The sequence below is a fragment of the Homo sapiens genome, chromosome 13 (assembly GCF_000001405.40).
Source record: "Homo sapiens chromosome 13, GRCh38.p14 Primary Assembly".
NCBI classification, from domain to species: domain Eukaryota; kingdom Metazoa; phylum Chordata; class Mammalia; order Primates; family Hominidae; genus Homo; species Homo sapiens.
In genome coordinates this window covers 25,303,091-25,317,627 of record NC_000013.11, presented here as the reverse complement: position 1 = coordinate 25,317,627, position 14,537 = coordinate 25,303,091, and the positions used below count along the sequence as shown (strand labels likewise).

Sequence of the window (14,537 nt, the reverse complement as noted above, 5' to 3'; positions counted from 1 at the left end):
ACCAACTTTTAAATTGACTAGCATATTATTTCTTTGATATGACATTTTATTATATTTTGTAAATACTTACATACACACAAACATGTATATAAAAAAAACTTGAGCCTGTTTCTACCATGGATCCCTGATTACCATGGACCCCCAATTAATCTACCTAGCTTTGCCTCAGTAATACACGTGGAGCTCTACAAAAGCTTCCTAACAGTTCTCCATGACAATTCTTGCCTTCCTGAATGCTATTTTCCATATGGCTGTCAGAATGCTCTTAATCTTAAAATACAAATCTCATCAAATCCCTTTAATAGACCCAAATTGCCTGAGGTATTAATATAATGACAAAACTCAACATGGCAAATAAGGACTCCATGACTTCTGGAACCTCATCTTTCTGCTCTATGGCTAATCTGGCCTTCTATCATTTCCTCAAAAGGGTCAAGGTCCTTCTCATCTCTAGTCTCACTTGACGCTGTCCCCTCTTCACTGAATGCTGTTTATTGCTACTCTCTATCTGGTTAAATCCCACACTGGTACTGCAGGGCCCAAGCTAACTGATACAGCTACTAGAAACACAGAAATCATTTGGATTAAAAAAAAAGAATCCCTTGATATAAGCAATAGATAAAAGGGAACTGGGATGTAGTAATCAGAGATCCATAGTAGAAACACACCCAAGTTATTTATATACATGTTTGTGTGTACATAAATATTTATAAAATTTAATGTCATATCTAAGACATTTATTTCATTTATTGTATATATTCTCCTTGCTCAACTCTATCTTAGGTACACTATGAAAGCAGGAAGATGTGGGGAGGGGCAGAGGAGGGGAGATTAATTTCTTACATTTATCTTACTCTTCTGCCTTAGCCTGCTCTTTGAGCCTAAAAACAATTATAATAGAGAAGTACTCTCATGCTTAAAATAAAAGTAATAGAAGTGGTACCAAGCTATTCCACTTGAGTAAACAAATAAGCTGCTAAGGCTGCTTTCCTAATTATGGAGTTGCTACAGAGAAAACTAAGTAAAAACAAACTTTGTTTAGAAATTTGTCAATTTTCACTGAAAGAGAAATCTAAACTTTGTAAAAGTTTAAAAAGGTTTTACCAACTTTAAAATAGTAATTCACCCTAGAATAGTATCTCCTTATAATAAAACCTGTGTCCAGTTTTTTAAAAAAAAAGTCATATAGATACACAGATACTATTTCACAGCTTCATCCATTTATCTTTCTTCAGAGAAGTTCAATATGTATATATATACCCTAGTATATATGGTATATATTCTAGTGAAACATGCTTTCATCAGAAGCAGAAGAGATGGTGCAAAACAAAGTAACACAAAAAACAATGAAAACATTTTCAAAATGAATTTGGATTAGCAAATTTTTAAAACCAAGATTCAACGTGGCAAGGGCACAGCAAGAAAGGTATTTTCATACTGGTTAGGGGGTAAACTGGTAAAATCTTTCTGGGAAAGCGATTTCACAAACTATACACTAAGAGTCTCCAAAATATCCCTCTCTTTAAGCCAATGATCCAATTTCCAGGTATTTTCCCTAAGAAATAACCAAAAATATAAACAAGCATTGATAATAAAAGGAGACACCTACATGTCTGGCTCTGCTAGGGTTTTACAAATAGTAACCCTCAAACCATTTAACAGATAAGGAAAAACCAAAGCACATAATATAAGTAACTTCAATAAGGTCAGAGAGCTTATAAGCAGTTGAGCCAGGATCTGAACCCGGGCAATTCCACTCCAGAGCAGACACTCTTAAACTACTATATTATGTTGCCTTTTTAGATAAATGCCCAGTGTTTTACTTCCCAAAGTAAAACATCTGGAAATAAACATCTAACAAGAGAACAATGGTTGACTAACTTATCCATCCATAAAACTGATATTAAGCAGCATTAAAATATTTAAAAAGAGTTACTGACAGACAAATGCTTCTGATGTTAGATAAGAACAGACTACAAAACAATACTGCATATGTATCATGATCCCTATTAAAAAATACATATTCGTATACACATTAAGATAGCTAACTGTTACTACTAAATATATAACTGCTAATCTTCCACACAAAGGAATTTTGAGCAACCTAGACATTCCCTCAACAGAACTGTTAAAACATAAAGTTACAACAGCATTACTTACTCTTTTTATCTGAGGAGCTACTGAAATCTATACCACCAAGGCCTTCATTGCCTGCAGTTGAAGTAGCTGCTGTAGTTCCCAAAGTCAACCCTAAAGCATTCTGTCCAAGTCCTATAAATAAAACATAACTTATAAATTCCATCAAAAGACTACAACAATTTCCCCTTACTGATCAAAGGACTCTAATGCTTTTAAAGTTGGATCCTAGATTTTCTTCATATTTGATTTAGGCAAACAACAAGAAACAAGCCTGGAGATGTTTTGGCCAAAGACTGATAACCTTTCTTGAATTCGATGGCATATGCAGTTTGGATGATGCGATTTTTCATTATTACGAGGGCCAGAACATATATCAATTCAGTATGTAGGCACTCAATCTTCACTTGTTATAAAGGGGTTTTGTTACAGAGGGCTTTTAAACCCTCTCTACAAAAGCAGTTTCAGTTGGTGTATTTTCAGGTGAATACATCTTGTCTTACAAACACACTTTGGAACTACATACTTTTAAGATAATCTAGTGTGAATTTATAACATTTGAATATAACATGTATTGAATATAATTTCATACTCCCAAGTTCGTTTCACAAAACTTAAAAAAAAGTATTAGAATTCATTTGCTTATTTACATCTTCCCTCACTGACAAAAGGAATAAAAAGGACCAGACTACGGTTAATCATAAGTCATTAACGTACACTTGTGAGTCAAGCGCAAAATTTCAAGCATCTTGTGTTGATAAATCTGTATTTCTTTTTTATTGTTATTATTGTTTTTGAGATGGAGTTTCGCTCTTGTTGCCCAGGCTGGAGTGCAATGGCATGATCTCGGCTCACTGCAACCTCTGCCTCCCAGGTTCAAGTGATTGTCCTGCCTCAGCCTCCCAAACAGCTTGGATTACAGGCATGCATCACCATGCCCAGCTAATTTTGTATTTTTAGTAGAGATGCGGTTTCACCATGTTGGTCAGGCTGGTCTCGAACTCCTGACCTCAGATGACCCACCTGCCTTGGCCTCCCAAAGTGCTGGGATTACAGGTGTGAGCCACCGTGTCCAGCCTAATAAATCTATACTTTTATAAGACCATGCATTACTGAGCTAATACAATTTTTGTTCTTTTTAGAAGAGATGTTATCTCTAGATCAGTTTACTGACTCCTTAAACAGGCTCTTCTTTGTTTCCTTATCTGGTTAGTCAATATTGAGAAAGAGGAAAATGTATTTCTAAAATATGGCTAATAGGCTGGGTGCGGTGGCTTACGCCTGTAATCTCAGCACTTTGGGAGGCCAAGGCAGCCGGATCACTTGAGGTCAGAAGTTTGAGACCAGCTTGGCCAACATGGTGAACCCCCTCATCTCTACTAAAAATACAAAAATAAGCCAGGTGTGCTGGCACACACCTGTAATCCCAGCTACTCAGGAGGCTGAGGCAGGAGAATCTCTCTTGAACCCTGGAGGTGGAGGTTACAGTGAACCAAGATCACGCCACTGCACTCCAGCCTGGGTGACAGAGCAAGACTCCATCTCAAAATAAATAAATAAATAAATAAAATACGGTTAATACATCCAATTATGTATGAAAACCATCATTTTATAATTTAGTTTTCATATTTAAAGGAAAATATGCAGATTAAAAAGTGACCTGCTCAAAGTACTAAAATAAAAATAAGTACATTTAAATATAAATATTTACTATTCTGGAGAATAAATACCATCAATTACCTGATGTTCCTGTGTTTGTACTCTGGAAAAGTGAACCTCCCAAACCAGCTAAGGCTCCCCCTAAAGAGAGGCCTGTTGATGCAGTTGTAGTTGTGGCTGTTGTCCCACCCAAATTATTTAGAGTAAATCCTGTGGATGCTATAAAAAGAGAGATAGTAAGCTTTCAAAAGGCAACTTATTTAACAGCACCATAGAAAAATACAAATACGATGTTTTTAAAAACTGACATCCATGATAAAATTGGCTCTTTGGAAGAACTACTTGCTAAAAATTACATACTTAAGAATAAAGAGAAATAGCAGCTTCAAAGCAAAAATCTGCGACAGAAATAAGGGCTTTGAGGAGTATTAGAATGGTACCAGGTAACTGATTCTAGATAGCAATATTGTCTTCAACCCAGGCCACCAACTTCACCTTCATATTAAATGAATCATAAGCCAGGCAAGGTTTATGCCAAGTCTTTGTCTTCCCCTGTCACTAAATGCCTCCTTCAAAACAAAGTCAATATTAACAGCTTTACATTTTACCTCTCTAGCCCTCTCCCCTGCTTTGCTCTCTAAATAGGGACATCAAGACAGCCTCTCCTGCTTCAATGCTCAAAGCTGAATTTTCTTCTTTATAAATCAATAATTTCTGTAGTAAGGTGACTATCTATGTTCTCTAACCAGATAAAATTGAAATTTAACCATTAAATGCAACGGTTTTTCATTCTGCCTCACCTGCTGGAGTTGATGTCAGAGCAGACGAAAGAGTCAGACCGCTAGCTGAGGTAGAGGTAATAGGTAGAGCAAATGGTGTGGCAGATGCTGCAGGTTTATTGAATCCTAAACTGAAGCCTGTTGTAGCTGCAGATGTAGTGGCTGGCGTTCCTATTTAAATAAATAAATGAATAAACAAACAAACAAAAATCCTACTTTACCTGTAAGTGTTCTATTATACTGGTTTCAATAAGGATCCTTAAAAGTTCATGATACTACCTTTTGCCAATAGAAGAAGGGTGTATCTGTGAGAGAAAATATGTAAAAGTTGAGACTAAACCATGGTGAACACAAAAAAGATGGCTCTTTAAGAAAAACAAAAGAATGGCCAGGTACAGTGGCTCACGCCTGTGATCCCAAAACTTTGGGAGGCCAAGATGGGCAGATTGCTTGAGGTCAGGAGTTCAAGACCAGCCTGGCCAACACGGTGAAACCCTGCCTCTAGCTAAAATACAAAAATTAGCTCAATGTGGTGGTGCACACTTGTAACCCCAGCTACTCGGGAGGCTGAGGTACGAGAGTCACTTGAACCTGGGAGGGGGAGGTTGCAGTGAGCTGAAATCGTGCCACTGCACTCCAGCCTGGGAGACAAGAGTGAGACTCTGTCTCAAAAAATAAAAAAACAGAAAAGAAAATCCAATCGATGTAACATATCAATTTTTATTCTACTCCTAGATTTACCTCTAATGCAGCATTTATCCTCCTCCTTTCCCTCTCAGCAGAAAAATGGTCCCTCCTCTCTAATACTCTATCAATAACCATTCTCTATTCCTTTCTTCTGGCCCTTGTGTCTCTGTCAGCCCCCAGCTGTCTCCCTATTCCTTTTCAGTCCTTTTTTTCTGTAGCTCTCTTTCCTCTGTTCATGTCTTAACTGACACTTCCTAGAGTTCCATTCCTACCTCCTTACTTCCCCAATGACACACCCACTTTCATCATTTCTCCTACAGGTGATTAAGTCTAAACTGACATTTACCTAAGTCCTCATTGTCTAGTTCTATCTTGATGTCCCTTTGGCCTCCTACATATCTCACCACAAACATTTTTTGCTATATCTCCAACCTTGCTCAGTTCAATTGCTTAAGCCAGAAACCAGTCATCCTTGACATCCTTTCCTTCTCCTGTACTCCATTAGTTACAAATCCTGTCGATCCTACTTCAGAAATATCCTGTACTACAAGCATCCTTAAAAACCTTAGCTTAGGCCATATCTCTCTTAAGAACTACTACAACAGCATTTATTTCTCTGGTATCAGTCTCTTCTAACCTCTAATCTATTCTTAAAATTATCTTGGTTACCTTAAAAAAAAAAAAAAAAAAAAAGACAGGTGCCGTGGCTCACGTCTGTAATCCCAGCACTTTGGGAAGCCAAAGTGGGCAGATCACCTTAGGTCAGGAGTTCGAGACCAGCCTGGCCAACATGGTGAAACCCCGTTTCTACTAAAAATACAAAATTAGCTGGGCGTGGTGGCGCATGCCTGTAATCCCAGCTACTCGGGAGGCTGAGACAGGAGAATTGTTTGAACCTGGGAGGCAGAGGTTGTGGTGAGCTGAGATCACGCCATTGCACTCCAGCCTGTGCAACAAGACCAAAACTCCGTCTCATAAAAAACAAAAACAAAAAGAAAACACAAACAAAAAACCCCCACAAATATCCTGGTGATTCTGCCCAATTTAAGGTTCCTATTAGCTCTAGATTGTCTTTAAAATAGAGTCTAAAGGCACGACATATACCTCCCTTTCCTATCTGGTCCCAACCTGCTCCTCAATTCTCAACTCTGCCCACCATTTCCACCTCTGATTTCTAAGCTCCAAAACCAAAATACTTCATATTTCCCAGAACGCTTTTATGACTGGGCCTTTGCACTTGCCACTCCTCTCTCTGAAGTGCTTCCTGCCCATAAAGTAAACCATACTGTTTTCTTCCTCTGCCTTTCATGGTGCCTCTACATCTTTTAGGACATTTATCGGATTATACAAGAACATGTTAATATACCTGCCTATCCCTTTCACCTCACAACAGACTGACTGTCTTGCTCCAACCCTTAGCAGTTCCCAATGTCATCATCAAGGACCATCCTCACCAGCAGTGCCACAATATTCAATGTTCAAGGCATTATGTAGACACAAGGCTGCATGGTTAGGAAGTAGTAACTGCTCAAACAATATTAAATAAAGAAATGTATGAATGACCTGCATGACTTAACCTGAAATCACTGAGAGAAAAGAAGCCAGAAACTATGCTTCTGGATTGCCCTGATCACAACTAGAAGTTCCTGCCAGAGTGCAGTGCTTTGAAATCACGTATGGGGTTACAACCTCAGAAAACAAGACTCAGGCTTGGTGTGGCTCAAGCCTGTAATCCCAGCACTTTGGGAGGCCAAAGAGGGCACGTGGCTTGAGGCTAGGAGTCCATGACCAGCCTAGGCAACATACTGAGACCTTGTCTCTACCAAAAAAAAAAAAAAAAAAAAAAAGGCCAGGCACAGTGGCTCACGCCTGTAATCCCAGCACTTCGGAAGGCCAAGGCGGGTGGATCACCTGAGGTTGGGAGTTCGAGACCAGCCTGACCAACATGGAGAAACCCCATCTCTACTAAAAATACAAAATTAGCCAGGCGTGGTGGCACATGCCTGTAATCCCAGCTACTCAGGAAGCTGAGGCAAGAGAATCACTTGAACCCAGGAGGCGGAAGTTGCGGTGAGCCAAGATTGCACCATTGCACTCCAGCCTGGGCAACAAGAGCAAAATTCCGTCTCTAAAAAAAAAAAAAAAAAAAAAAAAAAAAAATTAGCCAAGGGTTGTGGTATGTGCCTGTAGTCCTAGCTACTTGGGAACCCCAGAGAAGATCGCTTGAGCCCAAGAGTTTGAGGTTGCAGTGAGCTGTGATGGTGCCACTGCACTCCAGCCTGGGCAACAGAGGAAGAACCTGTCTGATAGGGGAAAAAAAAGCAAAAAAGAAAACAAGAAGATTCACTTGCTTGTGTTTGCAGCTGATCCAGTCCAAAACTTTGCTGATAAACAGATGTGTTGTTTTCTGTTAATAACAGGTGTAGCATCCAAATGAAGAAAGTCTGCCAATCCTTAACTTAAAACTCAATTTAAGAGCTTCTGAATGTTCTTTCATTTCCTTTTCCTTTCCTTTAACTTAAAATTCAATTTAAGAGCTTCTGAATGTTCTTTCATTTCCTTTTCCTTTCCTTTCACATTGTTTACTGCCATCCAGATTGAAAGCTGGCTGAAACCCTAGTTATTCACATTCCCTTTAGCGTTAACACTACAGAAAGTATTATGTCTTTGGATATTAGTTCAATACCCTCAATTTTATAGATAACTAAAAGCCCCAAACATTACCTAAGGCCTCACAAGTATTTTAGAGGCTTAATTCCAAAATTTCTGGCTTAAAGTTTGGTGTTTTTTCCACTAACTGGAGTCAAATGACTAAAAAAGTAATATGAAATAAACTTCCACATTAAAAACAATTTCTGCATTTAAAATACTTTTCTGAATTATAAAAGTACTCTACGAAGTCATTCCTTTTTTTCACTACTCAAATACTGAAAGGTTCTCCGATAAGTCACCATCTGTGATACACACTTTTTTCTATACTCCAGCTCTGTGAAATATTAGAAGAGAGAAGAGTAGAAAGATCACTCAATTTATTAAAATTATTAGAAGACCACAGAGCTGGGATCTTTCCTCAAAAATTCTTACCCAGAGTTAATCCTGTAGTTATAGTTGTTGCTATTCCTGGGGACAAAAAGAGAAATAAAATTTAATCATCAATGAAGATGACATTCTTTAGGTTTACCTGTCATAAGGGAAAGACTTAAAATCACCCTCAGGGAGTGACAACACTTCTAATTAGAACAATACATATCATAGTATCTGCCACTAATCACGCATTTTTCCCATAGCACTGGTTTTCATATTACAAGCCATACATAATTTGATTAAGGAATAAAATTTATAAAATGCAAATAACTATTGCTTATAACAAAATTAAGCAAGACCAAAAAAAGCAACTCCAAACAAAATGCTATACTGAGCTGTCTCAAGCAGCTCACTGACTAATCTGCTCATATTTATTCCTGTAGTTCTTCCATTTTCTAGATGTGGCTGTGAAATGTGCTGCACTCAAAGCTGGAAGATCAACGCAAAAAGTAGTAAGAATGACCAAGAGGCTCTAAGGGTAGAAAATAAGGGGTAAATAAAGAAGCAAACTTTTTAAATGGTCAGCTCCAGTGAAACATTATTTTTCCAGCTGTACTAAAAACAAAAACTTTCTATTGTTTTGAAACCTTCAAGTCCTTTACCTATTGCCCTTTTCCCACTTTGTTTTAATAATACAAAAATGTAAAACATCTCTTAGGAACGTAAATTATAGACCAGGCATGGTAACTCAGGCCTATAATCCCAGCACTCTGAGAGGCCAAAGCAGGAGGATCACTTGACCTCAGGAATTTAAGACCAGGAGGAGACCTCTTCTCTACAAAAAGTAAAAAAGTAAAAAAAAAAAAAAAAAAATTAGCCAGGCGTGGTGGTGCACACGTGTGGTCCCATCTACTCAGGAGGCTGAGGTGGGAGGATCACTTGGGCCCGAGAGGCTGCAAGGCTACAGTGAGCCATGATCATGCCACTGCACTCCAGCCTAGACAACAGAGCAAGACTGTGTATCTAAAAAAAGAAAAAAAATAGAAATTATGTTACAGTAAGGGTGCTGATTATCTCACGTATGTTAATGTTCCAAATTGATAAAGCTGGCTTAAACCACAATCTCCACTAAGGAAAAACACTACATTATATAATCCAAAAATTTAAATTAATATTTGTATGTTTTCCTTCGTTATATCAGAGTAGATGACAGTCAATGATTGGGCCTATCACTAGCCCTTAATTCCAATTCCTTGCATTTCTTTTCATCTTAGCATTTACCATTTTTTAAGGTCTACTACCAGTGATGATCCTTGTAAAGAGAGATACAGGACACAATTTAGGAAAGAATATCCCAAGCCTACTCTCTGACAATGTGATCAGATCCTCCTCACCTGTATTTGTTCCTCCTAGAGTGAACCCAGTGGCAGGTTTAGATCCAAAGAGCCCGGTTCCAAAACCACTTGAAGGAGCAGATGTAGTTGCTGGAGTTGAAGTACTTCCAAGATTTCCAAAATTGAGCCCCACAGAAGGGTTGCTTATTTAAAGAAACAAAAACAAAACAAAAATCACATGCACAAAAGGAGGTCTACTAGAGCCAATATTTACTTAAGAAAAATAAAAATTAACTCTTCAAGATAATTTCATTCACATAACATATCTAATACATTGTCATAGGACCCAAAAAGAAAAATAAATTTACCTTTAACCCATCAAGTTCAAATATGTTTCTGTTCTTCCTTAAAAATAAATCCACATGTAAAAGTAGTCTTAAAAAAAAATAAATCCACATGTAAAAGTAGTCTTAAAAAATACAATACCAGATTTCAGGCTGGGTGTGGTGGCTCATGCCTGTAATTCCAGCACTTTGGGAGGCCGAGGCAGGTGGATCACAAGGTCAGGAGTTCGAGACCAGCCTGACCAACAGGGTGAAACCTCGTCTCTTCCAAAAATACAAAAATTAGCCAGGTGTGGTGGTGGCACACGCCTGTAATTCCAGCTACTCAGGAGGCTGAGGCAGGAGAATTGCTTGAACCCGGGAGGCAGGTCGCAGTCAGCTGAGATAGTGTCACTGCACTCCAGTTTGAGTGACAGAGCGAGACTCCCTCTCAAAAAAAAAAAAAAAAAAAAATACAATACCAGATTTCAAGAAAAGCAGTCTACAGCAATAAGGATTCCAGATCTCAAGGTAATCATAAGTAGGGATCACAATTATTCTGCTTTCACCAATGTTTGAAACCTAGCATATTTTTAAATGGTCATAGAAAAGTTATTTTAAATTATCTTCACTAGCTTTCCATTGCTACATTACCACATTCATGGGGCAATGTGGTGTTGGGGAGAGTATAGACTTAGGTATTTTACCACCAAAAAAAGCATAGAAAAACTAGTGGGGACATTTCCTGGCAAAAGTTAAACGCAAAGCAAAATCACCCTGTCTCAGGATCATGTATTCATTAACAGAAACTCTTCAGAGCACAGTGCAAAGCTTAAAAAAAGAACAGCTGATAAAAACAAGTGAAAGTGAACAAACTTCACAACTTTTCAACTACTCTTATCAAGACTCAGGGGTTCAGATTTGCTATGAAAAGGTGGGAAGACAAACTGTGAAAATAAGCAAATTTTGACAAGTTGACACTTCCAAAATTATGTAGGAGATTTAAGGGAGACTATACAGCATAATGGCAAATTCTCTTTATCCTACATATTTATCTTTATTATTTCCTTTGCTGCCCTTCCATAAAGAATAATCACCATGGGAGAACCCAATGTCATTTTTAAAGTCTCAAAAGCCCTGGCAGCAGTAGTGTGGCTGGGTTCCAGTACCAATCCCCCCATGTTCTGGTACTTGTGTGCCATTACTTAACCTTTCTGAGCCTCTATTTCCTCATCTGCAAAACAGGAATTAACAGTACCCACTTAGCAGATTTTTTTTTTTTTTTTTTTTTTGAGACGGAGTCTCACTCTGTTGCCCAGGCTGGAGTGCAGTGGCACTCCGCAAGCTCCGGCTCCCGGGTTCACCCCATTCTCCTACCTCAGCCTCCGGAGTAGCTCAGACTATAGGTGCCTGCCACCACACCCAGCTAATTTTTTGTATTTTTACTAGAGACAGGGTTTCACCATGTTAGCCAGGATGGTCTCAATCTCCTGACCTCGTGATCCACCTGCCTCGGCCTCCCAAAGTGCTGGGATTACAGGCGTGAGCCACCGCACCCGGCCAGCAGAATTTTTTTTTAAATATAAGGGTTCAGAGCACAGGATGAATTAACTTCAATAAATGTTGTTATGACTGTTATCATTAGGGATACTTATAAATTTAACTAAACATATTATGTACAAGGCGTTATGCCAGGAATAGCAAGGGAGCAGAAAGATGTCCCCTAGTCAAGGAACATGCCGTTTACCAGGGGGATAAACAACACAAATAACTGTACTCCAAGCCAGAAGAGTTCTCCAAGTTACTTGGGTCCGGGTGTCTTCAATTTCATAATCAGCTTAAGAAGCCACTCAAATTTTTGCAAACACTGGGAGACAAGGAGGAAAAGAAATACTCAAGCAGGAGATAATTCAAGCAGTAGAAATGTACACACCTTCAGTAAGTTTAGAATTACTATAAGTAAGATTATAATCAAGTACCAAACGATGGCAAAGAGATACTGCAGAAGTTTGAGGCAAAGAGCTAATCACTGTGAGGGGAATGGAGGTGGAGGAGCTTATTAAGGGTAGAACTTGAGATGTGCCATCCATACTGAGTAGGTAAAAGGAGAAGTACTGATTTTTAAAATGTGTTTGTGTGCACCTTGGGCATATGAAGGCGAGGCAGGAGACAAAGCAGGGCGGTAAGCTCTCGCTAACAATTAAAACACAGATCTTGACCAGGCCGGGTGGCTCACACCTGTAATCCCAGCACTTTGGGAGGTTGAGGTAGGCAGACTGCTTGAGCCCAGAAGCTTGAGCCCAGCCTGGGCCACATGGTGAAACTCTCTCTACCGAAAAAACAACAACAAAAAACTTCCAAAAAACAAAAATTAGCCAGGCGTGCCAATGCACACCTGAATGTAATCCCAGCTACTCAGGAAGCTGAGGTGGAAAGATCACTTTAGCCCAGGAGGTGGAGGTTGTAGCGGGCTGAGATTGCGCCACTGCATTCCAGCCTGGGAGACAGGGCAAGGCCCTGTCTCAAAAAAAAAAAAAAAAAAAAAAAAAAAAAAACCCCACAGATCTTTAAACATTTAGTCTTAATTTAAAAGGTATTTTTAACAACATATTGCTACAATCAAAACTAAGTGAGATCACACACACAGAAACCTAAGTGAGCGCTACAAGCAAAAGAATATAGTATGTAATGGCTATATCCAGACAACATAGGTAGTACAACCATAAAAGGGGCATATATGCCAAAACATTTAGCTTAGCTGGTAGTAGTCTGATCGTATTGTTATTTTGACACTGTTGTGTGTATAATGTGGAGTAGGGTAAATGAGTATTTGGGGGATACTAAAACATTACTGCCGGCTGGGTGTGGTGGCTCACGCCTGTAATCCCAGCACCTTGGGATGCCAAGGTGGATGGATCACCTGAAGTCAGGAGTTTGAGACCAGCCTGGCCAACATGGTGAAACCCCATCTCTACTAAAAATACCAAAAATAAAAATAAAAAATTTAGCCGGGTGTGGTGGCGTGCCTGTAATCCCAGCTATTTGGGAGGCTGAGGCAGGAGAATTGCTTGAACCCGTAAGGTGGAGGTTGCAATGAGCCAAGATCACGCCATTGCACTCCAGGCTGGGTAACAAGAGTGAGACTGTCTTAAAAAAAAAAAAAAATACATATATATATATATATATATATATATATATATATATATAATCTTGACAACATAACTGAAGACATTATGAAGTATTACATAATGAAAGTTGAAAATACTGCCAAAGAAACACATCAAAATGAAATTTTTCTCTACCACAAAAGCAAGAGAGAAATTTTGGTGGCAGTGAAATTTACTAAATTCAAGAAAAGCAAAAGCTACCCTAAACTTGACCAATTATTGCCTCAAACCAATGTTATCTGCCAAGGACTTGATAGGATGTACTGTAGAAAAGCCAACTTGACTCAATCACATCTGGAATGTTATTTTAACTTGCCCAGCTTGCCCTAATGCAGACTTGGTAGCTAACATAATAGCTAAGATTTACTGAGCACTTAGCAAGTGCCAGACTTGATGCTAAATATTTAAATACTTCATCTCACTCATCAACTCAGGTAATATATTATACTCCTTTTCCAGATGTGAGAACTCCCCTAAAATGACCAACCTCAAGACATCAAATCACTAGGTGGCACTAGGGGCTGTCAGGCCTCCCAACCAGCACTCTAACAAATTTATGTCGGACAGTCTCCTCTTTCATTAATTTATCCAAGCCTCTCTAAAACTTGGGTAATTTTTTATAGCTTATTACTAATAACTCATTTGCTCAGTCATTCAAATTGTTATTAAAGCCCTTTTTCTATGCCAGGCACTGTCCTTGGGACTGACAATGAGGTGGGAAATTAAGACTCAGACCTTGCCCTCAGGCAGTTTCTAGTCAGTGAGAGACATAGGTATTAATTATTCTAGTGCTGAGATCTGACAACAAACAAGTTAACAATAAATATAACAAACTGATTACAATTGTGATCAGCACTCTAAGAGTACTAGGAGAATGGAAATCTCCCCTAGACTGACAGGTCAGAAAAGGCCTCTCTGGGGAAGAGACCATTTGATATTTGCAAGGAAGGGGCTGGCAAAGCCCACTTGAAAAGAGAAAAGGCCATGTTGCTAGGACAGGCTTTCTAAGATCAGGACCATGAGAGAAATATAAAAATTAATTCATCAAGTCATAAGCAACATTAAAAAAAAAAAGAAATAGAAAATATCAAAGTGCATCCCATGAAGTAAGGGTATCTTTCTCTGAAACTTCATTTCAGTTATTTAGGGTGGTAGTTGTGTGTTTGTTTTTAACAGTGGGTCTGCATAGCTAAAATAAAAAGATGGGCTCAAGATGAGTCCCGCTCAAGATGAGTCCCCAGAGGTTCCAGCAGAAGTGGACCTTGCAGACTATGGTAAGTTTTTTTTTCTTTTTTAAACTTCATTCTAACGATGGCGGGTAATGATTAAAGAGAGAGCAATGGGAATTTTGTTTTTCAATTACTCTGGCTAAAATGTGGCAGAACAGATTGAAGAAGTTGATTGGAGTAGTTTTCATCTAAAACAAGA

General features: G+C 38.8%; 1 protein-coding gene across 9 annotated transcripts in view; it reads right to left on the bottom strand.

Moving 5' to 3' along the window:
• Positions 1-14,537, bottom strand: part of NUP58 (nucleoporin 58) — a 48,176-nt gene that overhangs the window by 32,173 nt on the left and 1,466 nt on the right. For 3 of the 9 annotated variants that reach the window (NM_001411001.1, NM_014089.4, NM_001411002.1), the window contains exons 2-6: positions 9,680-9,822; positions 8,346-8,381; positions 4,596-4,745; positions 3,877-4,014; positions 2,161-2,271 (exon numbers count right to left, since the gene is read on the bottom strand). In NM_001411001.1, coding sequence (NP_001397930.1) covers positions 2,161-2,271; positions 3,877-4,014; positions 4,596-4,745; positions 8,346-8,381; positions 9,680-9,822 — 578 coding nt within the window. Of the gene's footprint in view, positions 1-2,160; positions 2,272-3,876; positions 4,015-4,595; positions 4,746-8,345; positions 8,382-9,679; positions 9,823-9,987; positions 10,025-14,472; positions 14,527-14,537 lie in introns of all 9 variants that reach the window. The other 6 variants (XM_047430805.1, XM_047430807.1, XM_047430806.1 and 3 more) reach the window with 3 other exon arrangements.